Genomic DNA, 26451 nt, shown 5'->3' with positions numbered 1-26451 from the left:
ACTTTACACGGTAGGAAAAGATGAATGCAGTTTCTTCTACTTGTATTTATATTTATTGCATTTATTATATTACATGCCTTCTGGTTGCCTAATGAGTGCATAAATGAATGTATGAATAGATTAAAAGATAAATATGAGAAAAATTTACAAAAGAAAATTATTTCCTTTGATATTAAAACAGCTTATAAAGAATGTTTTTATTTTTTAAGGAAAATACCCTAATATTTCAATATTTTTTTCTAACAGACCACAGTAGGACAGACTAATTAGTCTAATATTTTCTCACTGGGTTGTAGTCCAAGAAACCGATTTCTATCTAAAGATTGTAATATGAGCACTTGAGTATGAGGGAAACATATTTTCATTGTTTGCTTTCATGTATTTCAAATAATTAACATGACCAAATTTTGTTCAGCTGACTGTTGACGTACATTGTGGATTGATGATATTTTCTGCTTTTCATTTGCCTGTCATCATCTCATTAGAATTACAGAGAGGGCCAGCAAAGGAAGGGAAGGGTAATACAATTCAAATGTTAAGTTCTGCTACCTTCTCCCATATTTGTATGTTCTTTACATACTTTGAATAGAAAACTGTCCATGAAATTCACATGCTCAATTATATAACTTACTATTAATCTGAAGTTAAAACTTATCAATTAGGTTGTCACTTACTTGACTAAGTAGGAACTTTATAGGGGGATTAAAACTACTGTGAAATTATTAATTGCATTTGTTTGAGTGACAAGTCTGAGGAGAAAATTTGATACACAGAATTTATTCAGGTAATTAAAAATACTAAATGATTTATCTTTAAGGCACAACTTATATGGACTAAAGCTGGAAGTGTCATTCAGTGATTGAGAAGAGTTGAAAGATTCTTTTTGGGTGGGGAAAGTGTAGAAATTTTGACTCACTCTAGATTAAAGTAAAACCTAGGAAAGAAGACTGTACTTTTCCTAATATCAGCATAGATTTGTTAGAATCCCAGGTGGTACGACTTCAATTTATTTGCATGAATGCATAGTTCAATAAGAAAAGACTCAAATTTAGTTGGAGTAAAACTGCTTAATGATTTCAAATATTACTTTAATATATTAACATAACAGGTTTGAATATCAATAATGGAGTCTCTTTCATTTGGGTCTTAAGGGTGTTCTCAAAGCCACTAATGCTGAGTGCTAGGTATGCACTGAAGCACCTAAGAGGAAAGCACTTTAGGTTAAAAGCACTTTCTCTCTCAGCCTCAGGTTAAAAGCTATTTCAGGATTCTGTTAAAGGCATTCTTTAGTCCTCAGCTTCAGCTTAAAAGTGGCTTTGATGAAAAGTGCTTTGAGGTAGGTAAAGGATTTTTTAATAAACCATATTAAGAGCCAGGGAATCATGTGGTTCTGCAGAAGGGCTGGCTAGTTCCATGGAGGTGTGATGTAACCTCTACTCAGGAATGCCATTCCCCATGGGCTGTTCTGAGCACTGTGGTCTGCTAGTTATTCCACGCAAAGAAATTGAAAAACATTTCCAGGAATGTAATTGGAGAGTAGTTATGAGCCCAAATTAGTAGGCCATGATGCACACATTTCTGAAAACATTTTGTCTCCTTTGGGCTTCCAGTCAAACACAGTGTGTTTCTCATTTTTCAGTTTCTACTGCAGAAAGTGACAATGCAACAACATTTCCAAAACACCTTATCCTGTCCCAAAGTTGCCCACCAAACTGAATGAATAGGTATCATGTTGTGAGATGCTGCTTTGTATATTGCTCATTTGCCAGGTTTGTTGCATGCTTGACAGTTATGTTTCCAGCTACTGGGACCTCTTATGGAGGGAGGGGACTTAGAGAAGGAATGGAGTATCTCAGTTGGATCTGCCTACTGTATTGGCAGAATGATGTTCGCCACCATGGATGCTTACTTGCAAGAGCTGATATTAGTTGGTAAAACACAGTCAGGAGAATTGTGAACTCCTGAGATATGGCAAATGGCACATGTACTCTGGCTAAGTCCCAGGGACTAGGTGTAATTTCTGTTGAGGAAAGAGCCTCAGACACAGTGGAAAGAAGCTACTCTCTCACCTTGTGAGATTCAATGAGTAAGAGTTGTTGCTTCAGGCCCTAAAAAATCAGGTGCACCATGCAGGCAGGGTGGGGAGGAGAACAGCCTTTCTGTTTCCTTTGAAGACAAAGTGGACTAGAAATTCAGTGGGATCCAGAGGGATGGAGCACATTCTGGCACATGGAAGGTTTTGCAGGCTCAGGAGCCCTGGCCAGTACCTAGGCAGGGAAGCAGGTAACTCTCAGAAAGTGCTGGCTGCACAGCCAAGGTAAGGTGCCTTCTTCAGGCAGCTTGTGGGTAGTAAGGGTATAAAAGAGAAAGAAATGAGAGAGGAGAACACAATGGGGCAAAAGACAGTAATTCATCAAATTGTGCAACACACTTCAGGGACTCCCTTGAGTAGCTGAGGAGGCAGAGAAAGGCTGTGTTGTGATTACACAGGAGGGAGCCATGACTTGGGACATTTGTGCTGTAAGGTCAGTGTTACTCTGTTCATTCCCACAGCTGCAGGGGCTTTGGCCATTGCGATTACGTAGGAATTAACTCAAAGTAGATAACAAGTACCAATTTCATAATATAGCCTTCTAGTGTGTCTTCTAGTGGAGCCAAGTTTTGGGGGTATGGAGGTGATTTTCTTGAGGCAGAATATTTCCTTCCAAGCAGGCTGGAATGTCTAATTTTGAAGGATGGAATCACAACTTATACATCTTTGTAGGCCCAGTGCCCAGCCTATGGCTTGCCACATGCTAGGTCCTCAATACATGTTTTCAAAATAAATAAAAACAAATAAAAAATATTAAATGAATAACAAAATTGCCTATAAAGTAGAATACAAACTCCTAAGCCTGGGATTGTGCAAAACACTTGCCACAGACACTTCTTCTCATCAAACTCTTTACATTTCATCTAAGGCTGTTCTCCAGACTTTCCTACGATTGTGTACCTCAAATGTCTCACCCATTTTTACAAAAGTCCAAGGCTCTAATTCAAGGCTCAGTTTAAAGACCATAAAATGATAAAAGCATTAATCTTTCCCACACTTTTCCATGTGTAATTTCCCCAAATTTGTGACCTAAATACCCCTTAGAGCATTTGACATCTGATATATTACACCGTTGTTTTTGTGCATTTATCTTCCTTACTCACTTCCTGGGGACCTTGCTTTGTGTAGCTTTGTATCCTCTCAGAATACAGTGGCTCAGAGAATACATGTCAGTAGGCAATAGGAATAACAATCATACCTGTAGCATAAAGAAATGCAAGCATAGCTCTTCATCCTCATCATTGGATAATGCCTGAAAAAGTTATAATCACAGTCTAGGCACACAGAGTGTTCAAAATGCTAACTGTATTTTAATGCAATGTCACAAAAAATCTCATCATATATTATCTGTTTTGCAATTTTCAGAATGTGTTCTCTGCAGTCAGGTGAAGGACTGGTACGCAATACTAAGTAGAACTGGGAGTAGAGTATAACCATCAATAGCTATTGTTTGCTACGCTACTTGCTTTTTATAAAACATTACCAGTCCTGAGAAGTATTAGCTGGAGAGTGTGAAGAAAGAACATTTCATCATCTTGCCCAAATTCACAAAACAAGTAAGTAGCAGAGCCAAGTCTACTTCAAAATTTGGTAATCTTTATGGTTCTGCAATACTCTGTTTTCCTGAATAAGTAAAATACAGCTCTTTTAAATAGCACAGGAAGAGTCTTGGTTGCCCCTTTCACTACAACTTATGACTTCCCATTATACACACCCAAGCACAAAAAGAAAAAGATTTTCTTCATGTATTTTAATTATTTCAAGTGTGCTTTACATACTCAAACATTATATAAAACTAATACAGTTATTGTGCTGTAGTATCTCTTTCTCCCAAGAACGCACTACATATTTTCTTAGATGTTCTTTGTGTCTAGGATTCTAGGCTGGTCATAACGGGGGCAAAAGGCTGAGCCAAAAGGCTAACGCTTTCCCCAGCAGAGTCTTCCTAGACCACTACTAGCATGCAGATGGTATGCCAAGTTGGTTAGCGCAGACTCTCTCTAGCAGATCTCTGATCGATGTCCATGGTCCTGGTCAGTAAATGAAACTGAAGCTCAACATACACATTCATGGCAGCTTCTCAGAGAGTTGCATCTGGGAGGCCAGAAAGAATCCACACACAGGGGCGGGCACAGTGGCTCACACCTGTAATCCCAGCATTTGGGGAGGTTGAGGTGGGTGGATCACTTGAGGTCAAGAGTTCGAGACCAGCCTGGCCAACATGGTGAAACCCCATCTCTACTAAAAATACAAAAATTAGCCAGGCATAGTGGTGGGTGCCTATAGTCCCAGCTATCCAGGAGACTGAGGCAGGAGAATTGCTTGAACCTGGGAGACGGAGGTTGCAGTGAGCAAAGATCGTGCCATTGCACTCCAGCCTGGGTGACAAGAGTGAAACTCCATCTCAAAACAAAACAACAACAACAACAACAAAACGATCCACACACAGAAGCTTCCTCTAGGCTTTGGGTAGTATTCATGCTGTAATAACTGATTATAGGAACAGATGGCTTTGGCTTATCACAGGGAAGTGCTTTCCACTAAGACTTGATCCCAAAGTCTTGTTTGTTTGTTTGTTTGTTTTTGTTTTTTTGAGAGGGAGTTTTACTCTTGACACCCAGGCTGGAGTGCAATGGTGCGATCTTGGCTCACTTCAACCTCTGCCTCCCAGGCTCAAGTGATTCTCCTGCCTCAGCCTCCCGAGTAGCTGGGATTATAGGCACCTGCCACCACACTCAGCTAATTTTTGTATTTTTAGTGGAGATGGGGTTTCATCATGTTGGCTAGGCTGATCTTGAACTCCTGACCTCAGATGATCCACTCGCCTCAGCCTCCCAAAATGCTGGGATTACTGGTGTGAGCCACTGCACCCAGCCAAACCCAAAGTCTTTTACTACCATTCCTAGAATTCCTCAGATCCCATGTCTTGTGTCCCCAAACATTTTCCAATGGACTGTTTACTTTCTACCTTCTGTCCTGGATGAAGTAAGGCTGTGGTGCCAACTTTACCCACTATTCACATCCTGCCCGGTCAATACCTTTGAGGCCACAGCTCCCTGGCAAAAGCTTCTGCTTCCCATCCTGTTCTTCATGCTGTAGTAGAGAAACCTAGGCAGAGACCTCTCCTATGGAAAAGTCCAGTCGGCTGCTACACTGTGTAGTCACATTTGGAATATTTATATTCCTATACTGCAAAGCCACCTTTGGAATACTTTGTCCATATCACTGTGGCATCTCAAGTTGAACTTAACCTCACATGCAGATCTGGTTGTCTCTCTTCATGTGTTTAGTAGTATATTTCTAACCAATGTTATTTTTCTTCAAAATTATTTACTCGTACTACAAATACATGATCTTTCTGACTAAAAAGGCATGCATGCAAGTGTGTACATGAACATAAGAAACGGATGCTAGAGAACTGGAGGTATCTGACATCATTTGGAATTCTGTTTTTAATGAAGTGAGGGTCTAACCTCGCTCTTCTAAAATGTTTATGATATCTTCTTCAACTGGTAATTATGTGAACAGATTTATAACTAAAACAGGCTCTCACTTCCTCTTTCGATATTATTTCTTAAAAGGCATTGAGTGAGGTCCTGTCAAATTCTTTATGTAATATCAAATGGTCTCCTATGCTAATTACTTTTTTAAGATGCAAACATTGTAACATGCTCATTGTAACATTGTAAAGGCTTCAATGCATTTAAAATGTGAAGTCACAAAAGATGTAAACATCGTATTTCACTGTCCAGGGAATGAATGAATGTATGAGGTGGTACAAATTATGAGGGAGTCCAAGGGAGCAATGGTTTTTCTGAAATTTAGAGTATTCGGAATCTCACCATATTAAGATATCCTCAAGATATCACTTTTATACCATCGGCTTATTTCTCAGTCTCTTGTTATGTGAAAGATTCCTTTACTGTGAGGTTAACCCAGACCAGGCCTCTTTCAGCTCCATCTTTTCTTTCCTCCTATGAATCTGAGTTCCAAGTTCAAAGGGACATGTTAGGAGTGTTATATTCAAGTTAATGACCCTCACATATGTTTTATTTGGATGACATCTCTTCTAAAATCTCCCTCCTGTCTCATATGGATAGATTTTAAAAAATCATTACAAAATTGGAGCTGAACAACTGTTGAAAGAGAATGAAATTTCTCTCTTTTGCTCTACATATCTAAAGGAATTATATCTTGTGAAAATGTCAACCTTGGTAGCAGTTTCTTAGACGGCTATCTGCATAAGCTGTCTATCACAACAAAAGCATGATTCAACGGCTGTATGCTTCATGAAGGCAACTTGAGTCTGCAATTTTAAGATGTGGTCCAGGTATATACATTATAATTTTGGGGAAAATTTGAGCAGTAAATAAATATATAACACATTTTCTTGTAAACATTGACCAGGATATTTGTGGCTTATTTTGTTTTAAAGTCAGAGCATCCTTCATAATTTGATTTTCTTACATCTGAACATACATATCACTATTCACTAATGTTACTGTCAAATATATCTAAATCTCTTATTCCACAAATTGTAATTAACATAAGGTGAATATTTGCTACATATGTGGGGACATACTAGCTAGGCACAATGATTCAATTTTTTTAAAATGAATATGTGAAATTAGTACATACTATATGGACTTATATTTTGTCAACAAATCCTGCCTTAATGTGTTACTGTAGATTGATGCTTTTAATCAGTTAGCTATATAAAGTTCTTCATATATAAATATTAAAAAAGTATATATAAAAATATATAAAATAAAAAATGTATAAATATTTCCTGATGGAATATCAAAGATAAAATACTAAGAGACATTTGAAAACAGAAAGGAGCTAGGTCACAATATTGTATAATGAGCACACCTAACTCTTAGAAAGATATTAAGTTGAAAAAGGGCTGTATTATAAACAGATATTTCTTTTTCATAAATTTCTTTACATTTCACTTAATTATTCTCTTTACTGTGCCTTTTCCTTAAGCTACTATTAAATGGTGAAAGTAAGTTTTCATAAAGCCTGTTTTATATAAGTATTGCTGATTTAAGGAGGGGGAGAAAAGTTTTTTTATTTCTCTTTTGTATTCTTTTTCTCCATGCGACAAGAAAGTATTCAGAACATCTTTTTAAATAATGAAAATAATAATAATTGTTCTTAGGAGAATAAGAAAGCAAAGGAGAGGCTTTCTTTGACTTATCTGTGATAAGGCACTTTGGAGCTTTGGTTTTTATGAGTTGAAGAAAGAGATGTACACAACACTCTAACCCTTCTATTATGACAGTTTATACTTCCTACACAGCTTACTTAACTTAAATGCCTGGGAAATAGACACAATTACCACCTTATGGAATGCTACTTAACTTTAAATGTTCCCTGTAGAATAGAAACCCACTTCATCAAAATTTATCTCAGTTTCTCAGGAATTATTTCTCCTCTAGGCTCCTGAATATTCCTGAGCACTTTTAAAATTTAACTCAAGGTTGCTTAGAAATAACTACAATAGAAAAAGAAAGAAAAAACTCCCACACTACTGAAGTCTGTTCACAAGTGTTTCTATGAAAGAGCTGTGTCCTATGCCCATTTACACTTTAATCATTCACTCTTTCAGCTGTTATCAATTTAAAACCAATGAAACTCCCGCACTGAGTCCATTTGAGCAGTCAATTTTAATATCTCGAGGCATCTGTAGTTATTCTGAATTGGCTGCAAAAGCAGAACTAACAAGTTAAGCTCTAACCATAAGTCGACATCAGGCTGGTAAACCATACATCAAACACAGACAGTTAGTCAATACTCCAGTATGAAAAACCAACTAGCATTTTTAAGAAGAGCAATATATTCATAATATGTTTGGCAGTCTGGTTTGCATTTCTTCCTGGATGGCTGTGCATTTAACTTTTTAGTCAATAGGGTGGTTCTCAAGCTGGCAAAAAAGCAAATTTGAGGGAAAACTGGTCAGTCTTCTGATCTGTGGGTAATATTTTTTAATGAGAATAAAAGGGATGGGGGAATGAGCCTTTTGTGAATAAGAATCTAGAAAGTGTCTTAAATGGCTGCCTTTTATAAGAAAACTCTTTCCACCATATGTTCTGGATCTTTGAGCACAGTCCCTACTTCAAATATTATGGCATTGTCAGGCCATGTGTCTCAATTTTGTGTTTGGAAAATATGGTTGCTAGAAATACCTCTTTCCCTCCCAGGAATGTCTCTGTGACAGGGTTGTTGCCTCCCATTGAGAGAAGAAGACAATGAAGAAGGAGTATTCAAACAAGATCAAGGCAGTCATCACTTCAATCAAATCGTTTCCAAATTTTGGGGGGTGGGAGCTCTGGGTGAGGGGGAGTGAATGGTGTTTATGACATATAGCTGCCTATTCCCAGAACTCTTTTATGTACTTTTATTTTATCTTCAAAAAGAAAAGACATATTAAAGGGAAATATCTAAGGAGGAGCAATGCTACATAAAGTTTATGTTTTCAGATCTGTTGCCCCAGAAAATGCTTTGATAAAACACACTTACAGCAATATAGTCAATTTCAAAGAAAAGCTGGGAGATATACCTCTCCCTATTGCAATTTCACTAATACTGACAGACCACCAATTATGACTATCCAAATTCTGATATGGCCTCTTGCCTCCCTCCCACAGAGAAGAATAGAAAATGCAGGAATAGCACTTTTACAACATGGAGTTATTTTTCCTGATGACTCAGTTTTACAGAGGCCCAGTTAATTTTCGTTATCACTAATCAGGTGGGGTAAGAAGTCCAAAGAGAGATGCTTTTAATATCGGACAAAATTTGGGCCCCTGAAATAAAATAATGCAAGTTTTTTTTGAATCTTAGAAATTTATGAAATGTTGTTGATTTATAATAGACATGAATTTGGAGAAAAAAGATTTGTAGGCCAAACTGTCAGTGATGCTAAAGGAAATAAAAGAGCACTCTCTTAATCTTAGGATATGTCAAAATGAATTGTGGATATTAATATTTCCTTTGCTCGTAGCAGTCTAACACATCTGCTGAATGGGGTCCCTAATGAGGATATCTGAGTTATGAGAGCTCTGACATGTACTATCTTTAGAGACACACTCAACATACACACCATGTGAACTCTAAAATCCCATTCATATCATAAGTGAGGAAGGAGTGAGACCTCCTTCCTTGAATAGCATGGAAAATTCAACTTGTCTCACTATATAAGAAGCATTCATTCACACATTTGCTCAAATAATCAATCTCCAGGTCAGAATGAAATTCTGCTTTCTTCTCCCTCAGTTATCCACCTCGCCACACAATGAAATCACCATCTAGTACTTAGTGTGAGCAGTAGAATTATACCAACGACAGAGGCGAAAGCAGCATCCAGCACTGGCTTTGGATACTGTTCGTAGGTCTATGGAGGCCCTGAAAAGCTAACAAGAACTAAGCTGAAGAATCTTCCACTGCTCGTGAAGCTGGCTTTAGGAGTCAGGAGGGAACTATGCGGTACAAGAACACCTGCTGGAGAACAGCAGGGTATCAATAATAAATGCTAACCTTTAAAAAGGGGATTCTTTTGAACACTGACAAGGGCCCTGCATCTTTTTCTTCTCATCAGGTGGTTTCACAGAGGAAAGATTTAGGATGTGATTAGAGGACTGAAACAGCCATGGGCCATCTCTCCAGAGCGCAGCAGACTTCTAACACAAGGAGGAACTACCACCCTAGCCTGACTTTTGGTTGTCTCCAACTAGTTGAGGATATGCTTTCGAGAGCACATCAACTTTGGTGCAATGTTGGGGGTGGAAGGGGAGGTTTTGTATCTGTTTTACAATTTAGACACACACACACAAGATTTGAGTTAGAGCACAGAGTATGCTTAAAACATGGCATAGAGTCATAAGATGAAACAAAGCCTGCCTCCACTTGTTACTGCTTCCTTTTTGGTGTGTATGATCTATTTCTTCCTATTTTGTGGAAGCTTGTCAGTCCTCAAACTGGAAGGCTCAAATACAATATTTCAAACTGGCACCAGATTCATGTAACCCTATAGGGCATGCCAGAATTCTGGGCAATCTTTTAAGGATACATAGTCCACAGAATGAATAAAACCAGCATCTATTGCCAGGGCAAAATTTAGTATGGGTTTTAGGGGTCATTGGCTAAAAACAAAATGCCAATATGCTGGCTGAATCAACTGGGTTTTATTCATTTTACATTCCCAGCATTAAGCATAGCTATTACTAGGCATTGGGTCAGTTTCATGGCTGAAGCCTGGTATTATCTGGCATTTCTTTTACTTGAGAAAAGGGAAACATCTTGAGGACTTGATTTAATGTGAAAGAAATGTAATTTAAAGGAACTAAAAGGAGAATGATTATCATTGTTGTTTGCTAACACATAAAGTATAGTGAGTTACATACCAGAAATTTACTGGTAAAACCATTTTGTAGGTTAAAAAAATCAAGTGTATGTAAGTCACAATCTCAAATATTACATTCTCACTAACATCTGTATAAAAAGATCTGTCCCCATAAGAAAATAAATTCTTGAACCACAGGGAAACCAATTTATCATTCTGGCTCATTCTTTTTCCCCTTACCTAATTTGCTCCCATTTCTGAACCTCATTTTCTCTAGTTTGCTCCAAAGCTATTCTGCTTTTAATATCTCACAAGACCTGGATTGTTTCCTGTGTGCACAACAGGCTTTTAAAATACATGGGCTTAACCTGCTACCCAGGTGCACCCTTTTCTCAACATTTCTCCATCTCGCATGGTGTCCTGTATCTTATTATTGAACAAAAGCTAACTATGTGGTACTGTATTACCAACACATTTGCTCCCAAGAGCCTTTAAATAACAGAAACTGCCTGAGAACTATAAATGCAAAGGAACCAGGAAGCTTGTAGGCCGAGATAAAGAAGCTTAAGGTTGGCTATTAATTTTGGCTAATATTAAATCATGACACAGCGCACACGTAAAGATCACAGTTCAATTTTGAACCATAAAGAAGTTTTTTAAAAAAGAAGATTTACAAGATATTTTTAAGCACATTAGTGCATATCGTGGAAGTTGTCAGAGTATTTCAGACCCAAGCAATGATAGACCCATGCCCTAGTATATAAATTCAAGTATAATTATTCTCAGACTAACACTGATAAAGTGGCAAAGTTGGAGCATGTCTCTACCCAAAGCTATTTTACAGTGTTGATCATATATATTTTGCTTAAATTAACAGTGTGACAATTATGTTACTCTGTCATATATCAGTTCTAACAAATTATTTAAAAAACACTTTTCTCTTAACTCAATGATGTTGCTATTCATAAACATGACTGTTAAGTCTAGGGCTGATAGCTTGTATTTGCAGTTTGAATGACAAATCTTTTTTTTGTTTCTCAACATAATTGACATATTTTTAAAAGAACTATAATTTTTCAAAGACATTATTTTCTTTTATGGCAGACACCTTAAACAATCAGTTATGTCTGTGTGGGTAATTACTTAAATGTTCCAGCAGTTGCATGACACTATATAAGTGAGTGTAGTTAGAAAAATGAGCTCATGCCCATTTATGTATAAAGAGCATCATGATTAAAATTACCAAAAAGAGAAATATAAGCCAAGCCCAAGTTATCAGTGTATGTTTCTTGAAGTAAGTGAATTACTGCTGCCTTTCCTAGATGCTTGCCTTCAATGATTTCTCGAGCTTTAAGCAAATACTTAACAGAATGGTTTCCTAGGGCCATCTTGGTCATAATTTACTCTGTGCACCTAAATAAAGAAGAGGAAAAGGGAGAAAGGAAAGAAAGATAAAAATAAGAAAGGCAAGATGAAATGAAGGAAAGAAGAAAGGAAGAAACAAAAAAGAAAGGGAGAAAACAGTTGTGGGATGGCCAAGATAAGCTGAGCACCATTTTCGCATATATCATTTCATTTAAACTTTCAATGTAAATTTCATAAAGAAGAAAGTCAATAACCAGATATTAAGTTAATAGCTGGTAAATCAAAGAATCTGGCTTCAAGCCTGGCTTGGTCAAATTTCAAAGCTGCTATACTTTCAAATAATCTGAGATATTTTCTCCTCATTTTTCTTAATTGTAAAATGGAGCTGAAAAATTGACTATCAGCAGTAAGATTGATTCAGTTTATCAAGAGAATATAAAGCATTCTGTATCCTTTGAAAATATATGATATTTGAGGTATGGGATTAGTGTGGGATGCACCAGCAGACCACCCTAAGGCAAAACCATATCATTGGCCAGGTCTACCCATGTTTTCAGAGCTCTAGTCATTCTCTACAGAGACTCATTCTTTAATAAGAGTGGACAACTATTGCCCATCAGACATTTGGGCAAAGTCACTAATTTGATAGAAATAGAATGAATCAAATAAAGGAAAGAAAAGGACCATAGATGAAATTGATCATTTAAAGACCAGAAGAGAACAATTTAAAATAAAAAATAAAAACAAGACTCCAAAACAACAACAAATTCTAATCTATGTCCTCAGATAGCTTTTAAAAAATATCTACTTTTCCTATTTATTCAATTACCGAATATTTATTGAGTTCTATGTGCCATCCTCACTATTGTATAGGAGTAGAGTGGTCAACACAGTTTTTGTTTTCATGGTATGTGAGAAATGAGATGTGCAAAAAAAGAAGAATGGGAAACAAATCTAGAAAATTGAAAACATGATTGCTAAAGTTAAAATAATATAAATATTGGGGAACAAAACTGAGAATTCTTTCAAAATTTGAGAAAAGATAACACTGAATGAAACCATCAATTCAGATGATCTAATGATCACATAAAAAAGACCTCAGAATAGGAAACAGAGAAAACAGGTGGGAGGAATGTATCAATGTAATAACAAAAATATAAAAAATCCAGCACTGAAGAAAGAATCATAATTCTTAAAATTAAGGGCCAAGCAGAATAAAATTTAAAAATCCTGTCCACTATATACATTATCTTGATTCCAGAATCTCAAAATAAAGACCAAAACCCCCCAATGATTCTGAGAGAGAGAAATTCAAAGTAACAATGGTACAAGCAAAACAATTTTAAGAGCGGAATCTGCAACTCAGTGTTGGACAGGCAATGGAATTTTATACCCAACTAAGCTACTGATCGAGTGTGTGGGCATACTGAAGGTATTTTTTAGACCGTTGAGGACTCATGCTTTCCAAATGGGTTCATGGAAACTGTTAAAGAGTAATAGAAGGGAAGGCATGGGATGCCGAAGACAGTGGATCCAACACAGAGGAGCAGTGGAAGGAGATCACAGGGCAATCAGCTGGAGAGCAACCAGTGCAAATTGGAGAAAGAGGCTGAAAGGACTTTAGAAGAAGATACTCAGGGGGAAAAAAGCAAGGAGTGGCAGACTAGAATACACAGACAGTTTGAGAGAATGAAAGCACATAATGACATAAGGGCCCAGAATGCAAGAAAAAAATGAAACTCTGGGTAGGGGAAGAACACTGTGCAGGAAATTCAAAATGGAAAAATGAATCAGACTAAAAGCGTGATTATAAGCAAATGATAGAGCATAAGGTTTGAAAGCAAGAACAGTATAACTGGAGTGGCCCATAATTCACAGCATGCCACCCATGGATATGTTCAACCAATCTGGCATATAACTTGGCCAAAGATTTGATAGTATTTACATGACTAAAATAAAGCTGATTATTGTTTTTTTCACCATTTAGTCCAAAATATGAAAAAGCCATGGAGGTAACGTGAAACAGCATAAAACTGTTAATATATCCCTCAAATGTAAAAGGAGAGTTTTTCCACAATAATCAGGGGCCTTACCCTTTGAGAGTCACGGGAGTTGTGATATTATAAGTACAGGAAAGGAAGTCTATGTGGTGCTACAGTAAACAATCTTATGTAAGCATAATAGTATGAATGTTGATAGATTGATTAATTGATGGTTTTTTTTGTTTTTTTTTGAGACAGAGTCTCGCTCTGTCGCCCAGGCTGGAGTGCAGTGGCGTATTCTCGGCTCACTGCAAGCTCCGCCTCAGGGGTTCACGCCATTCTCGTGCTTCAGCCTCCCGAGTAGCTGGGACTACAGGTGCCCGCCACCACGGCTGGCTAATTTTTTTGTATTTTTTAGAAGAGACGGGGTTCCACTATGGTAGCCAGGATGGTCTTGATCTCCTGACCTCGTGATCTGCCCGCCTCTGCCTCCCAAAGTGCTGGGATTACAGGCGTGAGCCACCACGCCCGGATGATTGATTTTTAAGAAAGGGAGTCTCACTCTGTCACCCAGGCTGGAGTGCAGTGATGTGATCATAGCTCACTGCAGCCTTGACTTCTTGGGCTCAAGCAATCCTTCCATCTCAGTCTCCTGTGTAGCTGGGACTGTAGACATGCATCACCACGCCTGGCTAACTTTTTTTCACTTTTTGTAGAGAGACAGGGTCTCTTTATCGTGCCCAGGCTCATCTTGAACCCTGACCTCAGGCAGTCCTTTTCCTTTGGCCTCCCAAAATGTTTGGACTACAGGCATGAGCCAACCATGCTCAGCCATGTTTTTTTTAACTTTTAAAATTTACCTATAAATAAGCCATACTTATAAAAACAAGTAAAGTAAAATAAGTTTGTATGACATAGAAGTAGAAGAGAAGAGGCAGAGGAGATGAGAGGAGAAGGTGGCTGTAAATTCTTCATCTTACCAATGGAGGCTTAGCGCTCAATTTTCTAGGGTTAACAAAACTTAAGTAGAGATGTAGGCATCTTGCAAGTTGTGGAGAAAGCTAATGGAGACTGTGGGATGAGCTGTATTTGACTGTAAGTATCTGGCGAGGAGAAGAACCAAGCAGGGCCAGGCGCGGTGGCTCACACCTATAATCCTAGCACTTTGGGAGGCCAAAGCGGGCAGATCGCCTTAGCTCAGGAGTTCAAGACCAGGCTGGGCAACATGGTGAAACCCCATCTCTACTAAAATACAAAAAATTAGCCGGATGTGGTGGTGTGCACCTATAGTCCCAGCTACTCAGGAAGCTGAGGCAGGAGAATTGCTTGAACCTGGGAGGCAGGAGTTGCAGTGAGCTGAGATCATGCCACAGCACTCCAGCCTGGGTGACAGAGTGAGAATCCATCTCCAAAAAATAAAAATAATAATAATAAAAAAAGCTAAGATGAGGCTTGGTGTAGTTGAGTAAAATTCACGCCTATTGCAGTAGAAACCTAAAGTACTGTCTAAGACTGATAAAGTAAGATATTACAACACTGAAGATAAGAAGGACATTGACAAAAAAACAAACCAGCTTTTACCCTAAATAAGAAGGATGTAGGTATGGACCAAATCACCAGAACTATAAATAGAAACTGTTCAAAGTGGTACCTTTTAGGGAGCAAAACTAAGATGAGGCTAGAAAGCACTTCTCCTTATCATAAATCCCTGAGGTGTGCTATTTATTCTTCAAGCAGGTTTTATAATATACTGATTCAAAAATAAGTAATATGATACTAATTTCAGTTTCTACTAATGCCATCCAGTATGGTTTTGTCCTTATTAGGATGAATGAAACTACTTTCTAAACACTAAACATTTCTAAATCCTCTCTGATGCTATTATTTTGACATAAGGGCATACTAATTGCTCCTAAAAAGCCAAACAATGGTTATCTTCTCTAAAAACTGTATTACCTAAACTTGGATGTCAATACTGTTATTTGAAAGATTACATAAGGCAGTCTGGCTAAAACTAAAGAGCTGTTACTTCAGTTCCAAAAGCAGGCCAAGGAGATTTATAAACACTCCTACCACCCAAAAATGGACGCTTTTGCCTATAATTTATATGTTAAACGGATTCAAGTTTTGTTCCCAATGAGATGCTCAATGTTAATAAACTCATATATTTAAAAAGGGCTCACCATTCCTTGGCAAACTTGAATGCCCTTGGAGAACTTTTCCAAAGCTACCACTGCAATGGTACAATGTTTGCTACACCCACCTGAGCTATTAAGATTTCTTTTCATTGAGCAATCATTCAGAATTTTTTTCTGGCCCACTTTATTTGATATCTTAATATGTACTTCTCTTTAGTCATATTAAAGAAATTAGAAAATATGGGCCAGGTGCGGTTGCTCATGCCTGTAATTCCAGCGCTTTGGGAGGCCAAGGCAGGCAGATCATTTGAGGCCAGGAGTTCAAGACCAGCCTGGCCAACATGGCAAAACCCCATCTCTACTAAAAAACAAACAAACAAAAAAACAGTGGGGCATGGTGGTGCATGCCTGTAATCCCAGCTACTCAGGAGCTGAAGCATGAGAATCACTAGAACCTGGGACACAGAGGTTGCAGTGAGCTAAGATCATGCCACTGCACTCCAGCCTGGGCGACAGAGTGAGCCTCTGTCTCAAAAAAATAAACAAACAAATAAATAAATAAATAAGAAAATACAGCACCATCAAGGGACTGTTTCCAAGTCTAGGTTCTAGCTAATGAAACCACATATAAAACAGGTTTTGAAGAAAGGGCTTGTGATTGAGTTTAGATTGTGTGATATTGGGGTAAATCTCTTTTCACATTAAGTGCTTTGTGGACGTGACTCTGATGGGCGTTATAGGGTCAATAAAATATTAGCCCTTCCTGCCCCCATCGTGGTGCTCAATAAAGGCTGGTTGAATTCAAAGCCCAGCCTCCTCAACCTACTGGTGAATTACGTGAAAGAATAAACACTTTGAAAATTGACATGGCCGGCCGGGCGTGGTGGCTCATGCCTGTAATCCCGTCACTTTGGGAGGCTGAGGCGGGTGGATCACGAGGTCAGGAGATTGAGACCATCCTGGCTAACACGGTGAAACCCCATCTCTACTAAAAATACAAAATATTAGCCGGGCGTGGTGGCGGGCACCTGTAGTCCCAGCTACTCGGGAGGCTGAGGCAGGAGAATGGCGTGAACCCAGGAGGCAGAGCTTGCAGTGAGCCGAGATTGCGCCACTGCACTCCAGCCTGGGCGACAGAGCGAGACTCCATCACAAAACAAAAACAAAAACAAAAACAAAAAGAAAAAGAAAACTGACATGTCGCTGCAGAATCCCTCCCAGGTTTCAGGAAGCACAATTGTTAAGGCCCAAACTGCCAAGCACAGCTTTCCTGAACCTTGGTAATAGAGGCCTTTTGTGCCGATCTGGAAGATTAGACAGTTTATAAAGTATGATATAGATTATCTGGCCAAGTGAGCTGCAGAACAATTCTAAAGCCATTATTCCTCTTTCTAAATAATTCTTCCCTTTGAAAGAGTTAAGTCATTTTGCTTGCAAAAACTAACCATTTAACCATTAATCATTAATTGTATGCAATTTTTCTTAACTGATTAAAAATACTGATTTTATTGTTTTTCTAAGTCTTTGCTTTAAGTGTAAGAAAAAAATGGATTAAAGTACTAAGTGTGACTAGCCAGGTATTTTTAAAAATTGGTTTAATGCCTTTTACCGAGTTGGGAAAAAAAAACCCAAAAACTTAGTAAAAGCCTTAAAAAAAGTTCATAGCTAAAACTGAAACAAGCCCAAGAAGTGACTACATTTGCATAACTTGATCTGTACGTGGAAAAAAATTCTACTGAAGACAACAATGGAAGCTTATCAAATCAGAATTTTACATAGATTTTCCATAGCCCTACTAATGAATACTGACTCATTGGTCAGTTATGGTGAAAATTTAATGGAGCTCTAAGATAAGAAATGCATGAATCAGAGTGTGTTTAGCGGTTCCATTGCTTCGGTATGAAAACTGCATTAGGCATCCAGCTTTCCTAATGCTTTCTGAGACCAATTCTAGAGCACTGTAGTAATTAATCCTTCAGCATTTCATGTGGAGCCAGACCCTGCCACTGAATTAAAACCCCTTTTATTTTGTCCCAGTCGTGAAAAACTCGGACATTATGTAAAGTTAGGATTGTTGGTTGCTTAGCTGGTTTTATATTTTTCAAGATGGCAGTTAACCTGCAACTGAATCTTTTCCAAGAAAATGATCATCTATAGGATGAATTCTAAGGCAGAACTGAAGGTACTAGTAATACTACTTAGTGAAGTTGAATCTGTAGAGGGTCAATTACTGTCTACAACTCAGAAAAGTATTATGCATCGGAGAGTAAAAGTCTGAGGCAACTCTGATTTAAAGCAAGGTCCTCGTTTTACCCTTAAATCCTAAGAATTTTCTATTCTATTAGTAATGTGTATGCTTTTGCTTCATGAAATTTCACCTTCTACAATTGGTTCAAAGTGCTAGCTAATTTTTCAGATCTGTTCACCTGTTTCAAAATGGACGGAAACTGATAGATTGAACAGTTGTTATAAATTATTTAAATGCTAATCTTTTTAAGTAATGCTGAAATTAGGATCTGCTTTGCCCTCTTCATGAGAAATGATTGCTTATTAAATCACCTCTCGATTTCTATAAAGTTTAGCCTTTCAGCTTTCTTCTGAGGGTTAGGAGTTTCTTTTCGCCCAATTTCAAATTCTTTCTTACATTTAATTTTCAAAATGTACACATAAGCTAGAAAATTTGAAAAATACAGAGAATAATGAACTTCATGTTTTCTTGTTTTTAAAAAGAATCAATTTAGTCTGTATATTCTGTAAGATAATTTCCAGTTATAGAAATATACTAATCACTGGTTCTATCTATCCATTCATCCTTTCATTTGACACACTAACAGTGATAACAACAATGAATAATTATATTAATAAGCAGTGGGCATTCATAGAATATTTACTTTTGTTCCAGAAACTCTGTTGAATGCTTTACATAGGCTATGTCATTTATTCCTTTCAATGATGTATATAAGTATCCCCATTTAACAAATGAGAAAGCTGAGGCACAGAGAAGATCATAACTTGATCAATGTCAAAATGAGTGACTGGTGATCTAATTAGTCTAATGCCAGAGACCATGATTGGTGGCCATCATCTATTCTTACAATCATCTATTCTGCCCTCTACATATATTTGTAAAACTACCTAGTTATTTCAGTTTGGATTGAGTTTTTAGACTGCCAGCTCTCAATATCCATACATTTTCATGACACTAGTTTGTCTTAGACTTTCTTCCTAGCACTTACTTCAGACTATGACTAGGATGATCAGATAACCTTTTATCCAAATCTGGACATTTCTGATAGTGAAAAGGGCTGGGTTGGTAAGTGTGCTGGTTCATACTTACTAAAACCCAGCTGTGAACTGGAACCACCCAGACACAGGAGGACATGGTATCATTCTAGCAGGACACTAGGATATCCTTTCTCTGTTCCTAGTGCAGAACACAGATCCTCTGTGGGCAAAACTAGGTATATTGTTCAATGGCCCCATGATACCTCCTTTATTTTCTCAGGATCTGTTTTCTGGACAATTATTTTTCTTTTCTCTGTTACAGAGTAGAAAATTTAATAAGCAACCTAAGAAGAATAAAATATTCTAATATTCCTTTAGAGCTGATTAGCTATGAACACAGAGGCACATTCATTTATCACAGTTATAGTACAAGTATAAAATGACCTGTACCTTTAATAAGTCCTTTTTCTTGCAGAGTTTTCAGGGAAGGTCTTCGGGTAATAAACTTCTTTAATCTGCTTTTAACTCGATTTTTGTCGCTTGTATCGGAAGCACTGTGATGCAGTCTGAACACTGAAGATTTAAAAAAATCAGAGGCTTTTGGTAAATTTCTCCTTTATGATTATTACTTTATGCAAATCTGAATAGAAAACAGTAGTTATGAAACAACTACCTGAATTAATAGCTCAGGCTCTTCTGTCTACAACAAGCCATGTGAGTAAAATTTGCCCACATGAAAGTATTAGTCCTGTTGTTGCAGCATGAATGTACAATGAGAATGGGATTAGTTCCATATATTCACAATTTATTTTCACTTTCATTTCCTTATATTTAACGTAATCTTTACATGGATAATTCCATGTATTTATGCACAAAATTGTGGTCAGAGTAAAGAAAAATTCATCTAAACTACAGGAGACAACTCTTTAGCATTGCTGATTTCAATTAAATATGATTATATACCATCCCTAGCTAATGCAGACATTTCTGGAGGTCCTGCTTGCTTGAATAAACTTGTCAATCTTCTTTTCTATATTAACCTGAAGTGATTTATTTTTCTGAAGCAGGTATTTCTTACTCTCCTTATTGATGTATAATTACTACCAGTTCTATGTGAAATTCAGAAACATAATTTGCCTCAAACTTTTTCCATGTCTTCATTAGTCCCCTCTCCTCAGTTTCCTATTCTCAGATTTATCTTCAAAGTCAGGTGTGTGTAAAATTCACTCCTGAACAAATATTTGCTGAATGTCTACTAATCAGGCTCCATGCTAAAGGCTGTGAATTCGGGGATGAATATAATACATGAGGTCTGGGTTTTCATTAAGCATGGTCTAAACACATCCAAGATGTCTTCTTCCTCCTCCTCCTCTTATTTTTAGACAGAGTCTTGCTCTGTCACCCAGGCTGGAGTGTAGTGGTGTGATCATAGCTCACTGCAGCCTCAACCCTTCAGGCTCATATGATCCTCCCACCCCAGCCTCCCAAGTAGCTGGGACTACTGGCTACACCTGACTAAAGTTTTTTTTTTTTTTTTGGTAGAAATGGGATCTCACTTCATTGCTCAGGCTGGTCTCGAACTCCTGGGCTCAAGTGATCTGCTCACCTCAGCCTCCCAAAGTGCCAGGATTACAGGTGTGAGCCACTGTTCCTGGCCCAAGGTGTCTTATTATTAATTACTGATAGTAATTTGTTGTGTCTGTAGACAAGATATATATCTTAACTGAACGCTCCACTGCCTTCATTCAATTGTTGACATAATGAGAGGGTTTGGGATACTTTATTAGGTATTCTTTTTAATAAATATAGATATGCTTTTGAAAATCTACCTGGTCCAGGGAGTGAGAAACCTCTCTATAACTGGCAAAGAAAGGGAATTTTTGCATCCTGCTTTCCCTGCCTTTGACTACAAAGCAGGCTCAAACTTGAATTAGCAAAATGGGGAATTAAGGTGAAGTTCAAGACTGAGAATGACAGAAAAAGAAAAATATCCTGCTTATCTCCTAGCTGGGAGAAGGGTGGAATTTTATTTTTCAATTAAAGTTTGGATTATCACATAGGACTAGGTACTGTAAATTACTAAATTGAGACAATTCTTGCTACCTGAAAATCTGTAATACTTTATATTACTTTAAAGTATTGCTTCCCAAATTTTGTACTATTGACATATTAGGGTAGACAATTCTTTGTTGTAGAGGCCTGTCCTCTGTGTAGGATATGGAACAGCATCCGTGGTGTGTACCCACAATATGCCAGCAGCACGCCCTCCTTAATTATGACAATAAAAAAAAATGCCTCCAGACTTTGCCATAGGTCCATGAGGGTGGAGGTTGGGGTACAGAATTACTTCCTGTTGATGATCATTGCCTTAAACTGATTGGAAAAATTATAGGGCCATCTGAAGTTCTCATTTATCGGTGGAAGGTCTATCTATACATTGAGAAAATGTAAAAGAACTCTGAAAAGAAAAATAAATGTCTATATATCTATAGCATATGTGTGTATGTATATATACACAATCTCATACATATCTACCATCTATCTATATATTTGTCATGAGCTATCTATTTTTTAAATGAATTGATAATAAAAGTACAGTGACTATCATGTGAGAAAGGTAGACAGCTTCCCAGCTATGGGGCTCTTAAGAATGGACACAGGGAGGACAACACCACACACCAGGGCCTTTCAAGGGGTGGGGGCAAGGGGAGGGAGAGCATTAGGACAAATACCTAATGCATGTGGGGCTTGAAACCTAGATGACGGGTTGATAGTTGCAGCAAACCACCATGGCACATGTATACCTATGTAACAAACCTGTACACTCTGCACATGTATCCCGGAAATTAAAAATTTTTTTTTAAATTAAAGTAAACTTTAAAAAATGGGTACTATAGGTCTGAGAGTTAACAGATGTCCTCAGCTCTTAGGGTAATTTAGGCAAGACCAAGACAGCCTGAGTCCTTGTGGCAGTTGTACTGTATATTCTTTGGCTATGAGCAGTTTCCACCAGTGTGTTATACAAGTATGATTGTCTCTGTGTATCTCAATAGTTTGAAAAGCACTGCTTTAGACTTGTGCTATCCAATGTACTAGCCACTAGTCACTTGGGGCTATTGAACACTTGACATGCAGTTTGAGCCATATGTTGAAATGATAATTTTTGGATATTTTCTGCTAAATAAAATATCTTATTATTTAAATTGTTTCTTTTTGCTTTTTAAAATGTGGCTACCAGAAGATTTTACATTATACATATGTTTCATGTTGGACAGTGCTGGAAGATAATAAAAAATAAACACAAATTGACCACCTACTATATACATGGCAGTGCTGGGTTTAATTGTTGTGGATAACATGTATATGGCCTGTGTAATTATTTATTTTTATTTTTATTATTTATTCATTTATTTTTGAGATAATCATTACCCTGTCACTTAGGCTGGGTTGCAATGGCACAATCTCAGCTCACTGCAACTTCCACTTCCCAAATTGAAGTGATTCTCGTGCCTCAGCCTCCCGAGTAGCTGGGATTACAGGCATGTGCCACTAAGCCTGGCTAATTTTTTTTTTTTTTTTTGAGATGGAGTCTCTCTCTGTTGCCCACGCTGGAGTGCAGTGGTGCGATCTCGGCTCACTGCAACCATTGCCACCTGGGTTCAAGCAATTCTCATGCCTCAGCCTCCTGAGTAGCTGGGAGTACAGGTGAACACCACCATGCCTAGCTAATTTTTGTGGTTTTAGTAGAGATGGGGTTTTACTATGTTGGCCAGGCTGGTCTTGAACTTCTGACCTCAAGTGATCCACCCCACCCCCAGCCTCCCAAAGTGCTGGGATTACAGGTGTGAGCTACCACGCCTGGCCTAATTTTTGTATTTTTAATAGAGGTGGGATTTCACCAGGTTGGCCAGGATGGTCTTGAACTCCTGGCCTCAAGTGATCCTCCTGCCTCATCCTCCCAAAGTGCTGGAATTACAGGTCTGAGCCACCATGGCCGCCTGTCTGGCCTGTGTAATTATAATGCAGCACAGTAAGGAGTCAAATGGAAATGTAAGAGATTAAAGGATCTAAGAGGAGGGATTGACCTCAGGTCATTTTGGAGAAATATCAAGTGCCCTGAGAACCCAAGCAAACAAAAATTGCTTTTACAAGACCTTGAATATCAGCCATTAACAAATTCAAAATTGTATAGTTGGAAGAGTCATTCTGAGCATCTTAACAAAGTGTGTTTATGTGCTATCCTAACAACTTTCCTTCTAGGTCCAGTCATCGCAGTGACCACCAGTCATGTATGATCTGCTTCAACTGACAGCTGTAGTCAAAGTCCCATAGGTCTGTATTCTAGTGTTGGAGACTGAAGAAACACTTAACATCCTTCAGAATAACTCTGCCTCAGGGCAATTTTGGTTTCAAGTCCATCTTTGGAATGACACAGAATAATCAATCTAAGTTTTCACAGGTTACAAAAGTAATATTTTCGATTTCTGGTCTCACCTCAAAAACCTTGCCATTTCCCATGATAGAATACCAAGAAATGCAGGGCCAAGCACGGTATATTTTTTTTCTTCCATTTGGAACTAGTAAAAACGATGCCATTAGAAAGTACTTTGCAAATTAAAATATACACACATGACGTATAAATGCTAGATTATGAAAATAATTACGGTATGAGTTATATCTTTTTGAAACTCCCCTAGGTATTCTGGTGATAGTATTCTTAATTAGAGAGATATATATGTATATCATATTGTCTTCAATACCACCATCTGGCTCCACATGTGAGAAATGCGTGTAAGGTGCATTGGTTTTTCAAAGAAAATGAAAATATGTTTTTAAATGCTTTATCTTGTTTCCTTCTCATACATACTGAGAAACTAGCAGAGTCTTGGACATGATTAGACAGTTTTTAACGTAGCCAAACTCTCCAAAGTTGGCTCTAATGATTACTTTCCTGGAGACAGACTAGAACGTCAACTTCCATTTCCTGATGCCGTAAATAATTGTCCTCAGATGACAAGTCAAATTACAAGGCCTGTGCCATCATTCATTCCACTCATTTTGTTCTAAGAAGAGTTATGTAGAGGTTGAAGTCAATAGATGACTATAATATATAGCATACTTTTTATTAACCAAATAACTTGAAAGCACTATAAATACAAAATAAAAATGTTAAGAAGTGCGTGGATATAAAGCAAGGTCCATCACTGGGACCCTGTAAACAGCCGTAAAAGTCTTTGAATATCGTGGTTTACAAATCTGATTTTAACAGCCAAACTTATAAAACAGTTTACGCTTTTCTGTTGTCAAGGGAGAAAAACTTGCCAAATTGTTCATTTTAAGTAAATACAACATAACCAATTAAGGAAAGCAAAATTTAAACACATGCCTGTGATAATCGGGACATAGTTTGCTTCTGATTTCACTACTGATTTTAACAGAACAGTGTTCCTTCCATTTTCCCACAGCACCCAAGTGACCCCACACATACTTTTAGAAACTTGTAATCACACAGTGCAAATAAAAGGACACTTTACTGGAAAATACACAGTGTGGTACAATAATCCATCATTTATGAAAAATAGAATTCAGCCTTTTCTTTTCCCTCAGAGATTCAACTACTTTTTGAGGGTGAAGCTTCCTGCAGTTTAAAGATTTATGTTAAGCCAACGAGTAGTTTTTTTTTTCCATTCCCACTTTGAGTTTTTATTTGAAAATAAATAGAGCCAAAAGAGATATGGGTTTAAACTCTGAAATATTTAATCTGATTTGCATAAGAGACTAGAGCAATCACTCTTAATCCTAGGTATTTTTACCTCCATAAACATTAACCTTAACCTGAAATGTACTAGCTTTCCAGGTATTCTAGAATTTACTTATATTTCCTTTATGTTTTCCTCTGCTTTTCCCATTGGAGATCTTTTCTGTCAAGCCTGAACAAATAGAATGCTTTTCAAAGACTGAGAATTTTCAATAACAATAGGCAATTCAAATCTCAACACACAGGCCAAAGGCATTAGCTTTAAATACCATTCTTAACCAGTTGAGAGACTTAATTGGTGCTAAAACTGCTCTCACCAGAGGGGAGTTAGAATTCTGGGCTTTCTAAGATGTTAGGATAGTGGGCTTTCTAAGATGATCTTCAGTTAATAGTATTACATATGAGAATAGGCATTAGCCCAACACAAGTGTTATACCTGACACAGCTATTGTGCTATTAAAAATCACCTCTAGAGCTACGAATGCTTACTGTAAATGGGTGCCCTTAGTATACTTATTTTCTCACTTTAGTAACAGGAAGGGGAAACAATGCCCTCTGGATGGACGACGAATATCTACTCCCATTTAGGGTATGGGAACCAAAAAAGAAAACCCCCAAATCTTCCAGAATTCAACGGTTTGGATAATATGATCCAAAATTGTGCATCTGCCAGAACATCTCTTTCTGGGGACCTTATTTTGAAATACCTTCTTTTCCTGCCAAACTGCTGTTCTCGCGGTATTCCCATGTTACAATTACATGTTGTTATTATTTTTTTTTTGAAATTTGGAAGTGCTGGGACAGCCAACATTTCAGAAATGTTGCTAAAGGAAAGTGGAGTCATTATACTTCAGAAAAGCTATTACACACAGCTTTCTACACTACTTGTTCTCACTTTATCGGTGAGGTTTGACATTGAGATCAACATCAGTGTAGGTAGATAGTTTTGTTAGCAGCTAGGAGCTCTAAACATTTCAATTCAATTCCAAAAGGACATCAAGGGCAAAGCTGGCAACAGTAGCTTTAGTGCCATCATCTTACCACTCTGCAGTATTCAGAGCAGGAAATCAAAGAAAAAAAAAAGACAAAATAAGGTTTTGTCAGGCTCTTAATCCCCAGAGGTTCCAAAACTCTTCTCACACCATCATAGGGATTACATAACAAAGTACTGAATTATCTCCACTCACATTTTCCAACACAAACTTCTTGTATTGGAATTACCCTGCTTAACTACTTTCCAAATTACATAAATAAGAGCACCTTATCCCAAATTGATTGAAAAAAAGAAATCAAGTTTATTACATTTCTTTCCAGCCTCCTGTTTATTCCTTTCCAGGGCATTCACGCTTGTGCTAATTCATGGGGCTGTAATAAATACTGCTTTGCCTTCCCCCGCCTGTGGTTTCAGAGCTCCCAGAACTTTGCACATAACTCCCTATGTCAGAGTGGGCAGAAAGGGTAAGTTTGGGCTTAATGTACTGTTGGTCATTTAATATCTCTTTTTTTCACTTGCTCAGTGTAAATAGAAGTCATAATTTCAAACC

General features: G+C 37.7%; 1 protein-coding gene across 13 annotated transcripts in view, besides 2 other annotated features; it reads right to left on the bottom strand.

Annotated features, from left to right (window-relative positions):
• The window catches only part of ARHGAP15 (Rho GTPase activating protein 15), a 638934-nt gene that overhangs the window by 261258 nt on the left and 351225 nt on the right, over positions 1–26451 (bottom strand). For all 13 annotated transcript variants that reach the window (XR_007078554.1, NM_018460.4, XM_017004500.3 and 10 more), the window contains one exon: positions 19600–19722. Coding sequence is in view for 12 of the 13 variants with exons in the window: in NM_018460.4 (NP_060930.3) it covers positions 19600–19722 (123 nt within the window). In the remaining variant the exon portion in view is untranslated. The remainder of the gene's footprint in view (positions 1–19599; positions 19723–26451) is intronic.
• Positions 24796–25556: an enhancer, noted in NCBI's record as "OCT4-NANOG hESC enhancer chr2:144239108-144239868 (GRCh37/hg19 assembly coordinates)". NCBI's record gives its function as "activates a minimal SCP1, AML or CMV promoter by ChIP-STARR-seq in primed H9 embryonic stem cells {active_cell/tissue: H9 hESC(primed)}" and the evidence as "EXISTENCE:reporter gene assay evidence [ECO:0000049][PMID:30033119]".
• Positions 25786–26299: an enhancer, noted in NCBI's record as "NANOG hESC enhancer chr2:144238365-144238878 (GRCh37/hg19 assembly coordinates)". NCBI's record gives its function as "activates a minimal SCP1, AML or CMV promoter by ChIP-STARR-seq in naive H9 embryonic stem cells {active_cell/tissue: H9 hESC(naive)}" and the evidence as "EXISTENCE:reporter gene assay evidence [ECO:0000049][PMID:30033119]".

The sequence above is a fragment of the Homo sapiens genome, chromosome 2, assembly GCF_000001405.40.
Source record: "Homo sapiens chromosome 2, GRCh38.p14 Primary Assembly".
Lineage (NCBI taxonomy): Eukaryota > Metazoa > Chordata > Mammalia > Primates > Hominidae > Homo > Homo sapiens.
Note: the sequence above shows the minus strand (reverse complement) of the source record. Positions and strands in the feature narration are given on the sequence as shown.